The sequence below is a fragment of the Homo sapiens genome, chromosome 3 (assembly GCF_000001405.40).
Source record: "Homo sapiens chromosome 3, GRCh38.p14 Primary Assembly".
Taxonomy (NCBI): domain Eukaryota; kingdom Metazoa; phylum Chordata; class Mammalia; order Primates; family Hominidae; genus Homo; species Homo sapiens.
The window spans coordinates 111,619,163-111,641,551 of NC_000003.12; the positions used below are offsets into that span (position 1 = coordinate 111,619,163).

The following is a 22,389-nucleotide window of genomic DNA, read 5'->3' on the forward strand; positions in this document are numbered from 1 at the left end:
GCTCTTTTAGAACATGTTTCTGTCTGCCCACTCAATTCAGCACTGACTGGAGCTGTCTTCTAACTTAATTGAATTTCCAGTGATAGCATAAAAGGGTGGGTTTTTTTTTATTTTAGTGAGAAAATTTTTAAAGAGTTAAAATAGAAATGAGCCAGGAAGGCTTCAAACCTCCTCATGTAACCTCATGGCCATTTCTGAGCTAGTATAAACAAAACATTTTGTGTGAAGTAGTGTTTACCTCTAAATTTCATCTTATTTCCTGGAGACATGGGTCATTATAGTGTAACTCTGGATACTTGCAAGATTTGATAATAATAAACATTTACATTGAAGAAGGAATAAACAATCAGCAAACAAAGCCATCAACTCCCTATCACAGAGTTTGTCATCTTACTTGCCTACATAGTATCTCATGATTTAGAACACACTATTGAATATTGAAGAGATTTTGCTATGTTGTGAAATATAAACTTAGCCTTAAAACAAAAGGTACAAAGCAAGCTTTCTCACATCTGGAAATATATGATCAATATGAATCTTTCAAAAACATGGCTATGAGGAATGCAAATAAAATTTTTTAATTCTCTGCATGATATCAAGAGACAGTCAGACATGTTCTTATATAGTTACAGAATCTCCAGGTCAGGTTCTAAGAAGGGATTTTTTAAAACAAAACAAAACTCCTAAGAAATAAGCAGTGTTGCTGCACACTGTGCCACAGTTTGGTCACTGTTCTCCTGCTGCTTTTGTCTTGGATATGCACTTTGGCAGGTAACGCCCCACCTAGCTCTCACATCCAGTTCAACTCAGCACATGGAAAAAACACCCCTGAGGGCTTGTAAAAGCCCAGCCCTGGAATGGACAGGTGCCAGACATGGCTATTACTAATCCATGACATGTGAGACCACACACTGGGCTTTTGCATGGCTATGCCCTCTGCCTGAAAGCTCCCACCCTCCCTCCGCTGGCCACAATCTCCCACTAAATTCCTTGGGAAAGCTTTCCTGGGATTCTGACTGGGCTACCCCTGCTTTAATATGTTCTAGCATTTGAATTGGCTTATGTGATCGTCTGGTTGATGTCCATCTCCTTCATGAACTTAAACTCCAGGAGAGCAGTATTCCCAGTGCCAAGCACAGTGCCTGAAATTTAGAGACTCTCAAATGTTGGTTAAACAAACAAAAAAAATGTATGCAGGGAGTATCAAGAGAGGACTATGTGAAGGTTTTTAGAGATCAGGTCATGGAATGTGAAGGGGCCTTAACCTTGAACCACAGTGTAAAGTGGGAGAGAGAGGGGTAGATTTAATTTATCTAGGAACTACATAGTTCTCTAAAAGACTTTAACTCTGACTTCTACATAATGAGTGAGGTCCCATAGTAAAGGGGTCATTATCCCAATAACCTGTCAAGTTGGTTCAGACCCTCAAGTGAAAGTCTAAAGAAAATTCAGCTGGAGACCAATAGGAGCGAAATAACTTTGTGCTCCCTGGGGAAAGAGACTAGGAGACTAGGTATCATTGATCTTTTTGTTCCCCACACTTGGCATGTATTCAGCCCTCAATGTACTCCACAGCACTGTGTGTGAGAAGGGTAAAGCAACATAGATGTCTAAGTTGGGGCAGAGACATAGTCACACAAGGATTAAGGCAGCATGCATCCCTGAGGCATGTTTCTCCCCCAACAAGGTCCCTAAATAACATAATAGGTAGAATCAAATGAGTGAGTTCTCCTTCTCCTGCAGTAACCCTTGAGAAATGATTTATGTCACATTATTTTCTGACCTCCAGAAGAGAACATTTAATCAGTCATTTTAATATAAATGAAATTCCCAATCAAGTTATACTTCATCAGGATTCCTGTGATTCCTGCCAGAATTAAATCACATGTCCTGGTCAGTGCCAGCACCCAGTGTGGGCAACCAGGCTGGCATAGGAAAGTGTCTGTTGCTTGCAGGTAAGATATATTTTTAAAGGCTGCTGGCAGTTGCTTATTAGACTGAGATTTCTAGGTAGTGGTCATGTAGTTTACAAATAAATATTAAGTTCTTTGATGTTTATTTCCTAGATCTTTTTCATCATCCTCATTATGACAATTGTTATCATAGCACCACTGTTAAGAACAATTCCTTTGAATTTACTTACCAAGTCTCTCAGCAAATACTTTTGGAGGTTAATTCTCAGCATGAGAGAGAGAAGGTAGGGGAGGAAGGAGGAAAGAACCATCTTTATTCATTAGGAAGAGCCTATCATATCTCTCAGTATCTCACAGTGTTCAAATTACTTATACCTAATTTATTTATTTTCTTCTATATAATTTTTACCTTGTCTTGTCCCAAAAGGAATATGAAGTAACTTTAAAAATACATAACAATACAGAATTTTGAAAAGAGGTAACTGAAGGAATTGCTGCAGAGAGAACAAAAGCAAAGTCTTCTTAATGACAGAAATAAAATTATAAATCACTTGGTGATCCATAGGTTTGTAAAATGGTATAACAAGGCAGTTGTCCAGAAGCACAGCCGCTCTTAATGCAGAGACTGCCTGGGCCCTCCTCTAGAGGGCGTGGTGGAGCACAGTCCCAGGGACTTTCTCACTGCAAGTGAACAATGGCGACCCCTCCCCGCATCGTATTAGACTGTCATCTAGTGTCAGCCAATGGGAAAATCCTCAGTACTATATAAGAGCAATTCCACAGTGACTAGGAATGTAGTTCCAATACTCAGTTCAAAGCAATCTACAAAAGCATCATATATGCTTTAGGTAGTCAATCTTGTGCAATTTTTCTATTAATACAGCCTTTGATGAATGGTGGGAGGCAGTGAGCTAGAAGTTACAATTACCGCACAAGAATCTGGTACTGATGGCTCAGTGGGATGGCAGAGGAGAAGAATTGTAGGTGATTCTGCCAGTGAGAAGTTATTACCCTACCACAAAGCTAATGCCCCAGCCTACTATCACACTCTGTATTTCTGACTATTAGCCCTTTTCTAGTGCAACACTTTGGAATGTAGTTCTTGACTTGGGCCAGGCCTGGGGAAGAAAGAATTAGTTACCTTAGATCAACTTTCTTCCAGAAAGACCAAGGTAAATGGGGTAATTGTGGAACTCCTCAGGAGATTCAAGTGGCCTATAGTTAGAATATGCTTGTATTATCAACATCTGCTAAACTGCAAGTGACCTATTTTACAGATTCTAAGACATACTTTTTAGCATTTACTACATGTCAGGCACTCTTCTAAGTATTTTATATGTATGACTCTTTTAATCATGAAGCCACGGTGTGTAAGTATCTTTTTGTAGTTCATTGATAGGCTGCATTGCAAAAAAAGGTTATCATTGATGACCTCTGGATGTGAACTACTTATAAATGCATTAACCACAATGCCAACTTATTCATTTGATTTGATTGCCCATGTTCTCTATTTAAGGCATGTCCTTTCACATAACTGAGGTACCAGGAAAGCTGGCTGCCATTCACTACCAACTAAAGCTTGAGGATGAATGAACATACTGGCTATCATACTGTAATGATATTTTATAGGATACTTTACACAATTATACAGCATTCTTTTTATGAAGATCTGGGGAAAAGTTTCTTTTTAATCACAACAAAAAGAATAACTATTTCTCTAGCTATTCATAATAATACTGTTTTTATCTTATTATATTCATCAAGCACATAACCTATACTCTTTATTTCTTAGCACTTCCTACCAGAAAGGTCAGACCAAATGTGGGGCCCACATCTACTAAGAGCATAAGACATCAGGAAATGCACTTTGTCCACTATCCCTGTTTAGGTTTCAACAGGACTCAACATAATTTTTCTACTGTATTTTCCTTGTTCCTATTTTGCCTTTCTGCTTTTATCTTCTTGTATTGCACATTGATATAAACCACCTTAAATACATTTTGGACCAAAAGAGAAATGCACACAAAATGTATTTAAAATTTTTATTTCCAAGAGATATAAACCTGATTTCAATGGACTGTTGTTGGATATTCTTCTTTAATCTACCTTGCTTTATATAATAGTTCTAAAATATAGAGCTATTTTCAAATGAATATGAATCAGTCTTTCATTTTGGGGGAGTGAGGGGGAAGGAAGAGAATGTAACAATTATGGAGTATAAAGATGGAGAAATGACTTTGCAAACTAACAATTGAAGTAAATATGAAACCATATTTAGCATGTGAAGATACGGTTTTCACAGTAGTATTTGTGAAAATTCACTATAAGGTAAGTTTCATGAGAGCAGGGACCCTGTCTTCATTGTTTATTACTATATCCCCAGCGTGCAGAATAGAGTCTGGCATACAGTAGACACTGAAATAATATATTTTGAAAGTATGAATATAATACATTTAGAATTAGGAAACCGGGTTAATAGCAAAGAAATGATATTGGATATTGATTATTTAACCACAAGCATATTCCTTTTGGATTCGGTTTCATCATTTATAAAATGAGGCTGTTCACTAAGATTCTTTCCAACTCTAATATTCCAGGCTCTTGTTAAATGTAGTGGCACAGTTAAACATACGAATGTAAATACATATAATAATTTGGGAATTTTATTTTCAAAATAGGATATCCAGCTACATCTTCAGTGACCCTTGTAGATGTGAGTGCCTTGAGGCCAAACACCACTCCTCAACGTGAGTTCAGCAAAGTTTTCCTACATGATTGGAAAGAGACAACACACTCACAAGTTTTACTACTGCTTCTATAATGTTGACGTTTCAGCAAACAGCTGTATTTTTCATTTGATGTTTGTTAATATCTTGGTTTTGGGTTACTCTGCGGTGACTATATATTGATATGACAATTTCTATAATCTTAAAAAATAAGGGCTGGTGATTTATTATATTGTATCTTTTATTTGTCAAGGGATTTTAAGGTAATATTAAAGTAGTCTTCACAATACTCTCAGTGATCTGAGTTTGTGACAAGAACAGAAAAAGAACACAAATCAGTGACAAGCTGGCATTAAACATAAACTACAGAGCTTTTGCTTAATATGCCAGCTAGTGTTCCTGCATAGGGAAGCACATTTTCAATTTCAGATTTCCCCAAAGTCACATAGATTAAAAATTCTGTGCATCAAAGCAAAGTTAAATTACAGCTTTCGAAAAAAGCTGGATTCTGAAAATAATTTTGTCTTTCAGCCAGCAATTCCAGTATGACTACCCGAGGCTTCAACTATCCCTGGACCTCCAGTGGGACAGATACCAAAAAATGTTAAGTATAATCGTGGGTCCCTTGAGTCCTCTGGACTTCAGTCATTCATCCGACAGATATATTGAACGACATCTATGTGCTTTGTTTGTAATAATATTTGCAAATGTTCACAAAGCATCTATCATGTTTAAAGTATTGTTGTAGATTCTGAGACTACACCCATGGACAAAAGAGATCTAAGCTCCAAATTCTGATTAAGGGGAGACAGACAAGTGGTGATAAGTTATATGAAAAAAAGGCACAGGAGGGAGACAGTGGGAATCGAGAGTGAAGGGTTGCCATTTTAAATGGGCAGTCTTGAAAGGTCTTACTGAGGAAGGTGACATCTGAGCAATGCTATAACCAGTCAACCCGAAAGAGCAAGCTGTGAATATATTTGGGGAAAGAGCAAACTAGCTAGAAAATGCGTATCAGTAATAAAAATGAAAAGAGAGAGACCAACGTGAGTCCAGAAATTGTTTCATTCTTCCTTTTAATCTGGCCAACTAGCAGTAGAGTCTGTAAGTGCTGCTTTAGCAGATACAGACAGGATCTGAAGAAGAAATATATTGCCTCTTAGTGGTATTAGACAACGATCAGTGTGGTGGGGAAGTGGTAAGGAAGGAGGCTGGAGCAAAAGGAGAGAGGACGATGGATGCCACAGGGCCAGAACTCTGAATTTAAATGTTAGACTCTTTGCCACAAAGCGTAATGTGTATGTCCCTTTGGAAAGCATTTAAGTTTTACAGTTAAAACCTTTAAAAATATTTCATATACTCTTGCTCCCTCATTCCTGGGAACTTGTCCTTAGGCAAGAAAGAGAGAAAAAGAACATGAATAGGACTGCTCTTTGTAGCATTGTTTATTTATTTTATCTTTTTGATGGCCCTCAGGCTCACAGATTTGAATTAATCATAATATTTAATTCATGAGACACTTTCATCATTGGTCGATGCATGACCCTCTGTAATTTAACATATTTCTTTTAATAAATATGTTAATGTAATAGACACCCATGAACCCAGTACCCAAATATAAGAATTGAAAAGACAGTATTCAGAAGGGGGAGCATAGAAAGAAATCTAAAAATAAATGGAACTTAAGTGTCTATCAAAGATGGTGTGGCAGATTACTGTGAAAAGAGGAGACTGTTCAGCAAAAGGATCTAGAAATAGTGATTATTGATAAGAAAAAAAATTAAAATGTACCCCTGCCATGCACATTACACAAAAATAACTCTATATAGTTTAAGATCTTTATGTCAAAAGCAAAACATTAAAACATGGAATAAAATAAATGTGGATTTCCTCCTGCTTTGGAGTAGGGAAGGGCTTAACAAAGAGACATAACCATAAAAAATATGTAAAAATTAGAATAAAATTAAGAAACTTGGGTTCATCAAAAGACGTCTTTAAAAAGTAAAACAAAAAGCAAGCTATAATCTGGGGAACATATTTGCCACACATATAATTGAAAATGAATCAGGAATATATAATTGACTAAGGATCAAAATTTTACATCAAGAGATTACAAAGAATGCCTACAAATTAATAACAAATATGACAAAATAAACAAAAGTCACACCACAAAACATGAAACACACGTGGCTAGAAACATCTAAAGAAATGCTCAATCTCGGCCGGGTGCAGTGGCTCACGCCTGTAATCCCAGCACTTTGGGAGGCTGAGGCGGGTGGATCACGAGGTCAGGAGATCAAGACCATCCTGGCTAACAGTGAAGCCCCATCTCTACTGAAAATACAAAAAATTAGCCAGGCGTGGTGGTGGGCACCTGTAGTCCCAGCTACTCGGGAGGCTGAGGCAGGAGAATGGTGTGAACCCGGGAGGCGGAGCTCGCAGTGAGCCAAGATCGAGATTGCGCCACTGCACTCCAGCCTGGGTGACAGAGTAAGACTCCGTCTCAAAAAAAAAAAAAAAAAAAAAAGAAATGCTCAGTGTCTCTGGTAATCAGGAAATATAAATGAAGACTAGAATTAGAAAATCATTTTATATGTAATCAGTTTACAAAAATTAAGAAATCTGATATTGCCAACTATTGAATAGGATTTATCCAGCATCCTTTCAACATAATTTCTTATATGTTACTGGTGGTACCATCACTTTCCACCATCCTTTGGCATTGTATTTCAAAGCTGAATATGTGCATACCTACAATCCAACAATTCTATTCCTAGATATAAAAATCCCTCCAAAATTAGTACATCTATGCATGAGATATGCACACAAATGTTTGGAGGAAACACTGTTCATATAGCAAAAACTTTAAGTAATCTAAATGGCCATAGTCAGGAGGACAGATAAATAAATTGTAGTATACTAATAAAATATAATATTAAAGAGCAATGAAAAACAAGTGAATGGCAACCATATACAACAGCATGAATGAATCTTAATAACATTATGTTGAATTAAAAAGTAAATACCAAATAACAACATATGGCATATTTTCTAATGAAATTTTAAAGCAAGTATAAACACCATATGCCTTAGACGTAATATGTGATATAAAATTTTAAGCTTTATAAGTGAATAATAATTATAAACATTCAGGACAGCATTTGCTTTTGATGGAGATATAAGGGATGAGACAGGGAGAAAACATGTATAAATCTGTGTACATGAGTAGGAGTGAGAGGGTATTAAGAGGGTGAAAAATATGTTCAGTAATAAGAAATGGCAAATAGGATGAGATAACTCAATGAAATACTATGAAGCCAGCCAAAACAATAGCCATAACCCTGATCCGTTCTTCTTCACTGGGCAGGACCTCACAGCTGGGGCCTCCAGCCACCCCACCAGCTGTATTCTATGGACAGAACTCTGATGTCTCCTTGGGACAGAGTGCCTTGTGGGAGGGGTGGGCCATCACCTTGGTTGTTTGGATGACTCAGCCCTTCCAGCCTGTAGGCACTGGAAAGTCCAAACGGAACAGAGCAGAGGCAGTTCCACAACACAGTTCCCCAGCACAGCTGTTTTGTTAAGGAATGACCAGACTGCTTCTTTAAACAGACCCAGATCCATTCCTCCTCACTGGGAGGGTCCTCCCAGCCAGGGCCTCTGGCCAGCCCCACCCATGTTCTATGGCCAACAGAGTTCTAATTTCTTCCTGGGACAGAGTGCCCAGTGGGTGAGGCAGACATTTGCTGTTTGGGCATCTCATCCAGTTCAGGCTGTGGGCCTTGAAGAGCCCAAATCAATTGGGTGCTGAAGAGATCTCCAACATAGCACAGCTGCTCTACCAAAATGCAGCCAGACTGCATCTTTAAGCAGGTCCCTGATTCCATTCCTCTTGACTGGGTGAGATCTTCCAACTGGAATCTCCAACCACCTCCTACAGGCACGGTCAGGCCAGCAACAGGTCAGTACCCCCCTGGGACAGAGCTTTCAGAGGAATAGGCAGGTGGCCATATTTGCTGTTTCACAACCTTCACTGATGATACCTCCAGGTACTGGAAAAACCAATGTGACTAGGGTCTGGGGTAGACCCGTAGCAAACCACAGTAGCCCTACAGAAGAGTGCCCAGACTAGTCGTTCAAAGAAAACAAATAAAACACAACAGCAACAACAAAACAAAAAAACCATCCAAAGGTCAGCAAACTCAAAGATCAAAGGCAGATAAGCCCACAAAGATGAGAAAGAATTAGCACAAAAACACTGAAAACTTTAAAAAAAGAAAAAGAAAAAGAAAAAAAACAACAACCAGAATGCTCCCTTTCCTCCAAATAATCTCAACACCTGCCCAGCAATGGTTCAGATCTGGGCTAAGGCTGAGATCACTGAAATGACAGAAGTAGCCTTCAGAATATGGATAAAAATGAAGTTCACTGAGCTAAAGGAGCACATTGTAACCCAATGCAAAGAAGCTAAGAATCATGATAAAACAATGCAGGAGTTGACAGCCTAAATAGCCAGTACAGAGAGGAACATAACCAATCTGATAGAGCTGAAAAACACACTACAAAAACTTCACAATGCAATCACAAGCTTTAATAGCAGAATAGACCAAGTGGAGGCAAGAATCTCAGAGCTTGAAGATTGTCTTTCTGAAATAAGACAGGCCAACAAAAACAGAAAACAGAGTGAAAAAAATGAACAAAACATTTGAGAAACAGGGGATTATGCAATGAGACTGAATCTATGACTGATTGGGGTACCTGAAAGAGACAAGAATGGAACCAACTTGGAAAACATACCATCCAGGAGAACTTCACCAACCTAGCAATACAAGCCAACATTAATTTCAGGAAATACAGAGAACCCCAGTAAGATACTCCATGAGAAGATCATTCCCAAGACACATAATCGTCAGATTCTCCAAGGTCAAAATGAAAGAAAAAAATGGTAAGGGCAGGCAGAGAAAAAGGCCAGGTCACCTACAAAGGGGAAGCCCATCAGACTAACAGTGGACCTCTCAGCAGAAATCCCACAATCCAGAAGAGATTGGGAGCCTACATTCAACATACATAAAAAAGAATTTTCAACCCAGAATTTCATATCTGGCCAAACTAAGCTTCATACATAAGGAAGAAATAATATCCTTTTCAGACAAGCAAATGCTGAGAGAATGCATTACCACCAGATCTGCTTTAGAAGAGGTCCTGAAGGAAGCACTAAAAATGGAAAGGAAAGACCATTACCTGCCACTACAAAAAAACGCTGAAGTATACAGGCCATTGACATTATGAAGCAACCATATAAACAAGTCTGAAAAATAACCAGCTAGCATCATGATTACAGGATCAAATCCACACACAGCAATATTAATTTTAAATGTAAATGGGCTAAATGCCCCAATTAAAAGACACAGAATGGCAAGCTGGATAAAGAACCAAGACCTGTCAGTATGCTGTCTTCAAGAGACCCATCTCACATGCAAAGACACACAGAGGCTCAAAATAAAGGGATGGAGGGAAATTTGCCAAACAAATGGAAAACAGGAAAAAGCAGAGGTTGCAGTCTTAGTCTCTGACAAAGCATACTTTAAACCAACAAAGATAAAAAAAAAAGACAAAGAAGAGCATTACATAATGGTAAATGGTTCAATTCAACAAGAAGACCTAATTGTCCTAAACATATATGCACACATACAGGAGCACTCAGATTCATAAAGAAAGTTCTTAGAGACCCTCAAAGAGACTTAGACTCTCATGCAATAATAGTGGGAGACTTTAACACCCCAGTGAAAATATTAGACAGATCATCAAGGCAAAAATCAACAAAGACATTCAGGACTTGAACTCAGCTCTGGATCAAGTTGACCTGATAGATATCTACAGAACTCTTTACCCAAAAACAACAGAATATATACATTCTTCTCATCACCTCATGGCACTTCCTCTAAAATTTATCACATAATCAGAAACAAAACACTCCTCAGTAAATGCAAAAGAATGGAAATCATAACAAAGTCTCTCAGACCACAGCACAATCAAATGAGAACTCAAGATTAAGAAATTCACTCAAAACCATACAACTACATAAAAATTGAACAACCTGCTCCTGAATGACTTTCAGGTTAATAATGAAATTAAGGCAGAAATCAAGAAGTTCTTTGAAACCAAGAACAACAATACAATGTACCAGAATCTCTGGGACACAGCTAAAGCAGTGCTAAGAAGGAAATCGATAGCACTAAATGCTCACATCAAAAAGCTAGAAAAATCTCAAGTTAACAACTAACATCACAACTAAAAGAACTAGAGAACCAGGAGCAAACAAACCCCAAAGCTAGCAGAAGACAAGAAATAACCAAGATTGGAACTGAAATGAAGGAGATAGACACACAAAAAACCTTTCAATAAATCAGCCAATCTAGGAGCTGGTTTTTTAAAAAAGATTAATATGATAAATATACCACTAGCTAGACTAATAAGAAGAAAAGCGAGAAGAATCAAACACAATCAGAAATTATAAGAGGGATATTACCACTGACCCCACAGAAATACAAACAATCGTTAGAGAAAAGTATAAACACCTCTCTGCAAATAAACTAAAAAATCTAGAAGAAATAGATAAGTTCCTGGGCATATACACCCTCCAAAGACTGAACCAGGAAGAAACTGAATCCCTGAATAGACCAATAACAAGTTCTGAAATTGAGACAGTAATTAATAGCCTACTAACCAAAAAAATCCCAGGATTATATGGATTCACAACTGGATTCTACCAGAGGAACAAAGAAGAACTGGTACCATTCCTACTGAAACCATTCTAAAAAATTTAAAAGAAGGAAATGCTTCCTAACTCATTCCATGAGGCCAGCATCATCCTGATACCAAAACCTGGCAGAGATACAACAAAAAAAGAAAACTTCAGACCAATATCCTTGATGAACATCAATGCAAAAATCCTCAACAAAATACTAGCAAACCAAACTCAGCAGCACATCAAAAAGCTTATCCACCATGATCAAGTTGGCTTCATTCCCAGGATTCAAGGCTGGTTCTACATACACTAATTAATAAATGTGATTCATCACATAAACAGAACTAAAGACAGAAACCACATGATTATCTCAAAAGATGCAGAAAAGGCCTTCAGTAAAATTTAACATCTTAAAAACTCTCAATAAACTAAGGATTGAAAGAACATACCTCAAAATAATAAGAACCATATATGACAAACCCACAGCCAATATCATGCTGAATGGGCAAAATCTGGTAGCATTCCCCTTGAAAACCGGTACAGGGTTGCCCTCTCTCAGCGTTTCTATTCAACATAGTATTGGAAGTTCTGGCCAGGGCAGCCAGGCAAGAGAAAGAAATAAAGCACATTTAAATAGGAAATAAAGGAAGTTGAACTATCTTTGTTTGCAGATGACATGATTCTATATCTAGAAAATCACATTTTCTCAGCCCAAAACTTCTTAAGCTGATAAGCAACTTCAGCAAAATCTCAGGATACAAAATGAATGTGCAAAAATTGCTAGCAATCCTATACACCAACAACAGGCAAGCTGACAGCCAAATCATGAATGAATTCCCATTCACAATTACCACAAAAAAGAATAAAATACCTAGGAGTACAGCTAACAAAGGAAGTGAAGAGCCTCTTCAAGAACTACAAGCCACTGCTCAAAGAAATCAGAGATGACACAAATGCAAAAACATTCCATGCACATGGGTAGGAAGAATCAGTATCATGAAAATGCCCATACTGTCCAAAGCAATTTATAGATTCAATGCTATTTCCATTAAACTACCATTGACATTCTTCACAGAACTGGAAAAAAAAAAAACTATTTTAAAAGAGCCCAAATAGCCAAGGCAACCCAAAGCAAAAAGAACAAAGCTGGAGGCATCATGCTACCCAACTTCAAACTATACTGCAGGGCTATAGTAACCAAAACAGCATTGTACTGGTACAAGAACACACACATAGACGAATAGAACAGAATAGAGAACCCAGAAATAAGACTACACACCTACAACTATCTGATCTTTGACAAACCTGACAAAAACAAGCAATGAGAAAAGGATTCCCTATTTAATAAATTGTGCTGGGAGAAATGGCTAGCCATATGCAGAAAACTTAAACTGGACCCCTTCCTTACACCATATACAAAAATCAGTTCAAGATGGATTAAAGACTTAAACCCAAAACTATAAAAACCCTAGAAGAAAAGCTAGGCTATACCATTCAGGATATAGGACGGGCAAAGATTTCATGATGAAGATGCCAAAAGCAATTGCAACAAAAACAAAAATTGACAAATGGGACTTAATTAAACTAAGAAGCTTATGCACAGCAAAAGAAACTATCAACAGAGTAAACAGACAACCTACAGAATGGGATAAAATTTTTGCCATCTATCCATCTGAAAAAGGTATAATAGCCAGCATCTATAAATACCTTAAACTAATTTACAAGCAAAAAACAAACAACCCCATTAAAAAGTGGGCAAAGGACATGAACAGACAGTTCTCAAAAGAAGACATACATGTGGCCAGAAACATGAAAAAAAAGCTCAACATCACTGATCATTAGAGAAATGCAAATCGAAACCGCAATGAGATACCATCTCACACCAGTCAGAATGTCTATTACTAAATAGTCAAAAAACAACAGATGCTGATGAGGGTGTGGAGAAAAAGGAATGCTTTTATACTGCTGGTGGAAGTGTAAATTAGTTCAACATTGTGGAAGACATTGTGGCGATTCCTCAAAGACCTAGATGCAGAAATATCATTCGACCCAGCAATCCCATTACTGAGTGTATACCCAAAGGAATATAAATCATTCTATTATTCAAGACACATGCAAGGGTATGTTCATTGCAGCACTATTCACAATAGCAAAGACATGGAATCAACCTAAATGCCCATCAATAATAGACTGGATAAAGAAAATGTAATACATATACACCATGCAATACTATACAGTCATAAAAAGGAATGAGATCATGTCCTTTGCAGGGACATGGATGGAGTTGGAATCTGTTATTTTCAGCAAACTAATGCAGGAATAAAAAGCCAAACACCACATGTTCTCGAATTTTCTCCATGTCAGCAGTGTTATCATTTATGTGTTCACTGAGGTGGCACTTTTAGTTGCCTTCAATAACTTTTTCTTTGCATTCACAACTTGGCTAACAATTTGGCCCAAAAGGCCTAGCTTTGAGCCCATCTCAGCTTTTGACGTACCTTCCTCACTAAGCTTAATTATTTCTAGCATTTGATTTAAAGTGAGAAAAGTGCTTCTCTTCCTTTCCTTTGAATACTTAGAGGCTGTTTTAGGATTATTAATTGGCCTAATTTCAATATTGTTTTGTCTCAGATTAAAAAAAAAAGGCCCAAGGAGAGGAAGAGGGATGGGGGAACCACCAGCAAGTGAAGCAGTTAGAACACACACAACATTTATCAATTAAGTTCTCCATCTTCTACGGGTGCAGTTTGTGATGCCTCAAAATAATTTCAATGGTAACATTTAAGATCCCTGATCACAGATTACCATAGTAGATATAACAATAATATGAAAGTTTGGAATATTGCAAGAATTACCAAAATGTGGCACAAAGACATGAATTGAGCACATGCTGTTGGAAAAAAAATGGCACCTATAGACTTGCTTGACACAGGGTTGCCACAAAGCTACAATTTGTAAAAAAATAAAAATAAAAAAAACAAATGCAGTATCTGTGTCTGTGATACAGATACATGGTCAGGCACGCCTGCACCAATTTCTGGGGGCTTCATGGGTTTCCCCATGGTTAAGGCATAAGCCCCATACTTCCAAAGCTTGTGAATGTCATCTTTGTCAGCAAGAGTATGAGGGCCACATTTGTGGACCAGGTGGACATGGCAAAACTGGGCACAGAAGCTAGCATCAGTGTGTGCATCCTGGCGGCAGAGGTGGTGCTGGCCCAGTACATATTCACCTTGAAAAGGAAGATGAGATGAAAAATCAAGATCATCAAAATTCCTGTGTCCAGGCCTTGTATCTCCGGATATTGTTTGCCACCTATACTGTTGTTCAAGGACAAAATCGAAAACAGAAGAACTCAGAATGCCTTAAGGAGTATTGAATAGCTAAGAAGTTGCTCATCAAAAGTCTGCTGTGCATGTAAAAATGATGCAAGAATTCCAGAAAAGTTCAGTTTGCATCAAGAACCCTGCAAAAATAACAAATTATCTGTGGTTTTATTAAAGGAAGATGCCAAACTTTAGTAATAATGGACTTTGATATGACACTAAGTAGATTTTCCTACCAAGGGAAAAGATGCCTAATGTGTCATAATATGATTGACAACTATAAACTTGTCACAGGTGAATGTCAAAGAGGTTATTGCAACTAAAGGAAAAATATTTTATTATTGAAGTTGAACCTGTTAACTTCAAGAGAAGTACCCATTTATGGTAGAATAGTATGCTGCCCATCAATAGTGTCTTTGTTGAACAAACTTTACCAAAAAATGAAATTTAAAGAAATCGTGGAAGAATCTGATGTTATGCTCAAGGAAGGATATAATAATTTACTTGAGAAGCTCCAATAACACAGTATTCATGTTCATATTTTCAGCAGATACTGGTGCTGTAGAGAAGTTTATCAGTCAAGCTGGTGTTTATCATCCAAATGTCAAAGTAGTGTTTGTTTGTAGATTTGTGAAAATGTGTACTCAAAGGATTTAAAGGAGAATTACCTCATGCAGTTAACGAACATAATGTTGCCTTGAAGTACACAGAACATTTCAGTCAATTAAAAGACAATAGCGACAGGGCACGGTGGCTCACGCCTGTAATTCCAGCACTTTGGGAGGCTGAGTCAGGTGGATCACCTGAGGTCAGAAGTTTGAGACCAGCCTGACCAGAGTGGAGAAACCCCGTCTCTACTAAAAATACAAAATTAGCCAGGCATGGTGGCACATACCTGTAATCCCAGCTTCTTGAGAGGCTGAGATGGGAGAATCACTTGAACCCGGGAGGCAGAGGTTGCAGTGAGTGCGATTGCGCCATTGCACTCCAACCTGGGTAACAAGAGAAAAACTCTGTCTCAAAAAAAAAAAAATAGACAATAGTAACATAATTCTGCTGAGACTCCCAAGAAGACTTTAAAAGGGCATACAAATTAGCCAAATTTTCACATTCTGAAAATTAGATCCCTAAATGATAGAGTGGATAAGCATTCAGGAAAGTATTGTTTCATCAAAAGATGAATCACTAGAAGTAGCCAACTCCATCTTACAGACGATTCTATAAACAAGCATTCTTCAGGATGTTCTCTCCTGCAGGAGCAAGAGATACCAGAATTGTTCATCTCTTCATCTTGCTGAAAGGCTATTTTTTATAATATCTTTCTGGTCTTGAAAGTTTACCTTTATGTATTTAAGTGTTTTCAGACATGTGGAATCCATCAACGGGAAACTCCATTTTCTTCACCTCTCTCACCATACTTCCCACTACATGTTATTAACAGATTAAAAACAAAACAAAAAACCTCAAAGTCAAAATTAGAAAAATAACTCCCTACTTTTCCAAAGTGGCTTATGTTTTTTAATTTTTTAATTATTTTGAGGGGTCTTTTAAAATTGGGAAAGTTAGTAGAAGTCCAAAAAGAAGTTTCATGAAATTACAAAAAGAAAATGGCATAATTTTAAGTGTTGTAATGTTTGTAATTTGTAATTGTGCTGATGGTATCACCATCTCCTGAAATCGTGTTATGTTAGGCTATTTTGCTTGGGGAAAATCAATATTGACCAGAAAAGCCTGGCACTGTATACTTGCTGAAAACTATTAGTGTCCACACATCATTAACCATTACAAAATGTTCTATATTGACTCACTGATAATAAACATGAAATGGAAAATATTTTTAAATACCCATTTTCCTTAAATGGATTGTGCTTATTCAGCCATTTAGACTTTAGCGTAAATTAATTTATCCCATTCTTTCTTGCAAACATACTTTGATGAGATACAAAATAAAGACATCAAGGTCAGAAAGTAAGAAAGGAGTCACCATACCATATTGAGCAAAAAACTACAAGGTTATTCAGAACAAACTTCCTTCTTCATAATTTTACCTAAATCTAGGCCTAGTCCCAATTGTTTTTCAGTTAGTTATTGCTCTTTGGAAATCAAATTCCGGCGAATGGCATAATCATTAAAAAATTCTTAGTCCATCATCATCAATAGACCTTGATATTCTGTCTAGAACAAAAATTAATATGCAGTATCAGAGAGTTATATTGAAAATAAGAACAGCTCCCTGAACTCAGACTGAAAAAAAGCTGTGTATGAAACCACTCTTACTTCTCAGGTGACCCCAAATGGAAATAGCTATGACAAATTGTCCTGTAATCAAGCCCTAAAGAATGGACTCTTACCTCTTCTGGAGGGCCTGATCACACACCTTTGTCAGCAACTGCAGCTGCTGTTGACATCTAAGAAGAAACAAGGAAAGCGGAGGGCTGAGGGTATTGTTTGTTTTATTTTGATTTTGCTCACTTGATTTGGTCTTGGCACACAAGAAAGCTTTTAACTATGAACATCATTTATGCTAATATTTTAAATGAATGGATGTAATATATTTGTACTGATTACAACCGTGTATTACTATAGTTATTTTACTTTACATTGCACTGCAGGCCTTTTATCAAATACAGATATGTGGTGTCTGCCAAGGAGTGACTCTTTCTTGCCAGAGATGGGGCAATAAACAAAATGAGTTGTTAGATCTATTTCAAAAGCCATATGTGCTGTCTGAGTTTGCTGCCATCCACTCAAGGGGAAGGTTTGTCTCTAAATGCTTCAAAAGGACTCACTCAGCAGCTGACAAGGCCTGTGACCCCAGGGGTCTGATAATTCACTGCTGACATGTTTTGTTTTCACAGTTCAGCAAGACTGTCAGCTGACCCACAAGTACAAAGTGTTTTCGTCCCCTATGCATGTTCTAGCAAGGTCTTCAAAGTCCTATTGGCAGCTTTTCTTGACTAAACGCCGCCATAACACACCTGGACCTTCATTCTCTTCCATTTTTTTTTTGGCTCATCTATGGAATGAGCATGACACACTCTGGCTAGAGGAACCCCTTCTAGTGTTTTCTTTCCATATCTTTTCCTGCTTCTAAGTGGCCATAATTAAAACCTTCCCCATTATAGACATCTGAACCACAAGAATCCCTTCAACTCCCACTTTGTTTGAGGACATTCTTGTGTATGCTATGGAACAGTTTAATGATTTTGCTTTATGTACTCATTAATATCCTTTTTTATAATTATTAGATTAAATTAGCAGTCAAGAAGTGGTAATATAGTCTCATATAGGTTAACTCTTCTGATATCTTCTTCCTTTAGCAGTTTCACGGATACCTAGTGAAACATACAGTTCATCCCCGTCAGGTGCAGGCTCAACACTTCATGGTGAGTACTTGGGGAAGATTTAGGGACACTGAAGCTAGTGGTCAGCTTTATTTGGACACAGGTGTAAAAACAAGAACTGATAAGAAGCCAGCCTCAGATAGATATATAAAAGTACATCTTGATGATGAAAATTACAATGAATGGAAACAAAATTCTTCTCAGCCATTCAAAGAAGATAGAGACCAAGCCTTAGATTTTTATACATTTTATTTCCAAAAAAATCTACACAATAGCATTTTTTACTAGTTATATCTATGAAAAATAAATTTCAATTTTTTTATTGGAAAATAGAATAATTAGTCAACATGGATTTGTTTAGTCTAATGTTGCAAATGAATTTTTATTAACCTTATCAAACACATCGGTGTGGAGAGAAATTAGTATTTTGATCAGCTGAACCTCTCATACCAAGAGAACAGGAACAGAGCCTCACTTATCCACGACCCCCAACTCTGGCCTTTTTCTGTACCACTTACATTTCTCATGGAGATTCTTTAGCAGACATCATTTTGTTGTTTGGAAGTATGGAGCTTCTTTTTTTTTTTTTTCAACCAATAGGAAATTTTCCTATTTTCAACCAACAGGAATTTTTTTTTCAACCACTAGGAAATTTTATTCCTTTGGCAATTGTTAGACAAATCTCAGGATCCCAGCCTTGCTATAAATTGGTTCTTAATAAACTTTACACATAATATTTAAGGGATACTTAGACAATTTAAATTGAGTTCTTTCAAATAACATATGAAACCCAATCATGGTTTTATACCACTTGATCAAGTTGAGATGTCTTGTCCAGATATCCCCTTTATATCCCTAGACAATGTCTTTACCAGCACAGCCAGAGCATTTTCAGAAGTCCCCACAACTGCCAATGGATCTACGAAAACTAATCACGTCCATATCACTGGTAAGTCATTTATCCTATTTTGGGGGATTTTATGCTTTATTCACTCAATAAATATTTATCAAGTACCTGCCATTTGCCAGGCATTATGCCAGTTGTTGGATATACAGTGAACACACTGGCTTTTTGAAGATTATAATCTATTAGTGATCGATCATGTGTATAGTAAATAAATAATCACAACTAAATTTATTTTGACAAGTACTATGATAAGGTGTTGTCAGGGTCAAACAGGAAGTTCTGATTTTAATTGGAGGATAGGAGAGGACTCTGTGAGGATATACTTAAATTAATATCTGAGAAAAATAAATAAGAATTTATTCTTGTTGAATAAATTGAAAAGTAGCAAAAAGCATTTCAAGCCTATGAAAACATAGTCTGAGAAAGAAATCATTGGAACAAAGAGTACTCCTATAATTCAACTAATATAATATTGTCATGCAAAATGTAATCCCTCTTTTATATCATAAGAGAGCAAAAGATTCAATAAAGTTAGGACCCTCCTAATGAAGGTCATGATTGTAAGTTCACAGGCATAATCAACTTCAGGGGTGTTCACTTGACTAGTGAATGCCACACCTAGGTACTCAGCTCATTTTGTGTCAAAGGTCATACAGTCTTCTGATCATTGGAGCATCATCTTGCACACGTCGTGGCAATAAAGCTGCAAACTGAGGCACTACAAAGATTTTAATATATTGGTGCCTTAAAGAGCTGTCTAGTTTAGAGATGGGTCAAAAATGGAGTTCTGTTTTTCCACTTCCATTGTGAAGGCAGTGGTCTCATTTTCTACACTTGGTTGGAAAAAAAAATATAGGCATTGATGTAAGACCTCTTTAAAATATTTTGTTTGGCAAGAATGAGGGATCATGGCAGACAGGAAGCAGGACTAGATTGCAACTCTGCAGCATGCAGAGTCTTCATTGTGAATTTTAGCTCCAGATCAACTGCAAGAACAAACCAGCAATCCTGAGAAAACCCACAGACCCTCTGAAGGAAGCAGACAGCCTCTGTAGCACCCAGGAGACACCCCAAATACTCTGGGAGGTGGATAGCCTCACAAATTTTCAAGCCCATCTCGCCCTCCACCTGGAGACAGACTCGGGGCTGTTGGCGGGGTGGGGGGCATGGTGGGAGTGAGAATGGCCTGTCAGTTTGTGTAGGAGTTCGGTGAGGCCTGTGACTGCCGGCTTTCCCCCCTCTTTCCTGACAACCTGCATGATTCAGCAAAGGCAGTCATAATTCTCCTAGGTGCACAACTCCAGTGACCTGGGAATCTCACCCCCATCCCCAACAGCAGTGGCAGCAAGACCTGCCCAAGAAGAATCTGAGCTCAGACATGCCTAGCCCTGCCCCGACCTGATGGTCCTTCCCTATCCAACCTGGTAGTGAAAGACAAAGGGCATATAATCTTGGGAGTTCTAAGGCCCCGCCCACCACCAGTCCCTCTCCAGACTACTATAGCTGATGCTTTCTGGAGAGCTCTACCTCCTGGCAGGAGGCCAACCAGCACAAAAACAAAGCATTAAACCACCAAAGGTAAGGACCCTCACAGAGTCCATTGCACCCTCTGCCACCTCCACCAAAACAGGCACTGGTATCCATGGCTGAGAGACCCATAGATGGTTCATATCACAGGACTCTATGCAGACAACCTCCAGTACCAGCCTCCAGCCAGGCAGACTCACTGGGTGGCTAGACCCAGAGGAGAGACAACAATCACTGCCGTTCGGCTCACAGGAAGCCACATCCATAGGAAAAGGGGGAGCGTCTACATCAAGGGAACACCCAGTGGGACAAAATAATCTCAACAACAGCCTTCAGCCCTAGACCTTCCCTCTGACAGAGGCTGCCCAAATGAGAAGGAACCAGAAAACCAACCCTGGTAATATGACAAAACAAGGCTCTTCAACACCCCCCAAAACAATCATCCTAGTTCACCAGCAATGGATCCAAACCAAGAAGAAATCCCTGATTTACCTGAGAAAGAATTCAGGAGATTAGTTATTTAAGCTAATCAGAGAGGGACCAGAGAAAGGCGAAGCCCAATCCAAAGAAATCCAAAAAAAATGACACAAGAAGTGAAGGGAGAAATATTCATGGAAATAGATAGCTTAAAGAAAAAAAACAATCAAAAGTTCAGGAAACTTTAGACACACTTTTAGAAATGTGAAATGCTCTCAAAAGTCTCAGTGATAGAATTGAACAAATAGAAGAAAGAAATTCAGAGCTCAAAAGCAAGATCTTCAAATTAACTCTGTCCAACAAAGACAAAGAAAAAAGAATAAGAAAATATGAACAAAGCACCCAAAAGTCTGGGATTATGTTAAACAACCAAACTTATGAATAATTGGTGTACCAGAGGAAGAAAAGAATTCTAAAAGCCTGGAAAACATATTTGGGGGATAATCAAGGAAAACTTCCCCAGCCTCGTGACAGCCCTAGATGTGCAAATACAAGAAGCACAAAGAACACCTGGGAAATTCATTGCAAAAAGATCTTTGCCGAGGCACATTGTCATTAGGTTATCCAAAGTTAAGACAAAGGACAGAATCTTAAGAGCTGTGAGACAGAAGCACCAGGTAACCTATAGAGGAAAATCTATCAGATTAACAACAGATTTCTCAGCAGAAATCCTACAAGCTAGAAGAGACTGGGGACCTATCTTGAACCTCCTCAAACAAAAGAATTTTTAGCCAAGAATTTTGTGTCCAATGAAGCTAAGCATCATATATGAAGGAAAGATACAGTTGTTTTCACACAAACAAATCCTGGGAGAATTTTACCAAACCACCACTACAGGAACTGCTAAAAGGAGCTCTAAATCTTGAAACAAATCCTGGAAACACATCAAAATGAACCTGTTTATGCATAAATCACACAGGACCTATGAAACAAAAATACAAGTTAAAAAGCAAAAACAAAAATCCAAAGTACACAGATAACAAAGAGCAAGATGAAAGCAATGGTACCTCATATTTCAATACTAATACTGAATGTAAATGGCCTAAATGTTCCACTTAATAGATACAGAACAGCAGAATGGATAAGAACTTACCCATCAACTATTTGCTGCCTTCGGGAGACTCACCTAACACATAAGGACTCATATAAACTTAAAGTAAAGGGGTGGAAAAAGGCATTTCATGCCAATGGACACCAAAAGCGAGCAGGGGTAGCTATTCTCATATCAGACAAAACAAACTTTAAAGCAACAGTGGTTAAAAAAGACAAAGAGGACAGTATATAATGGTAAAAGGCCTTGTCTAACAGGAAAATATCACAATTCTAAACATACATCCACCTAATATTGGAGCTCCCAAATTTATAAAACAATTACTAATAGACCTAAGAAATGAGATAGACAGCAACAAAATAATAGTGGG

General features: G+C 37.9%; 1 protein-coding gene and 1 pseudogene across 15 annotated transcripts in view; both read left to right on the forward strand.

Annotated features, from left to right (window-relative positions):
- Positions 1 to 22,389, forward strand: part of CD96 (CD96 molecule) — a 123,800-nt gene that overhangs the window by 76,966 nt on the left and 24,445 nt on the right. For 10 of the 15 annotated variants that reach the window (XR_007093273.1, XR_924090.2, XR_241462.2 and 7 more), the window contains 4 exons: positions 4,592 to 4,660; positions 5,171 to 5,242; positions 18,034 to 18,099; positions 18,917 to 19,006. Coding sequence is in view for 5 of the 15 variants with exons in the window: in NM_198196.3 (NP_937839.1) it covers positions 4,592 to 4,660; positions 5,171 to 5,242; positions 18,034 to 18,099; positions 18,917 to 19,006 (297 nt within the window). In the remaining 10 variants the exon portion in view is untranslated. The remainder of the gene's footprint in view (positions 1 to 4,591; positions 4,661 to 5,170; positions 5,243 to 18,033; positions 18,100 to 18,916; positions 19,007 to 22,389) is intronic. The other 5 variants (XR_007093307.1, XR_007093366.1, NR_134917.2 and 2 more) reach the window with 1 other exon arrangement.
- NT5C3AP2 (NT5C3A pseudogene 2) lies at positions 14,781 to 15,328 on the forward strand (annotated as a pseudogene).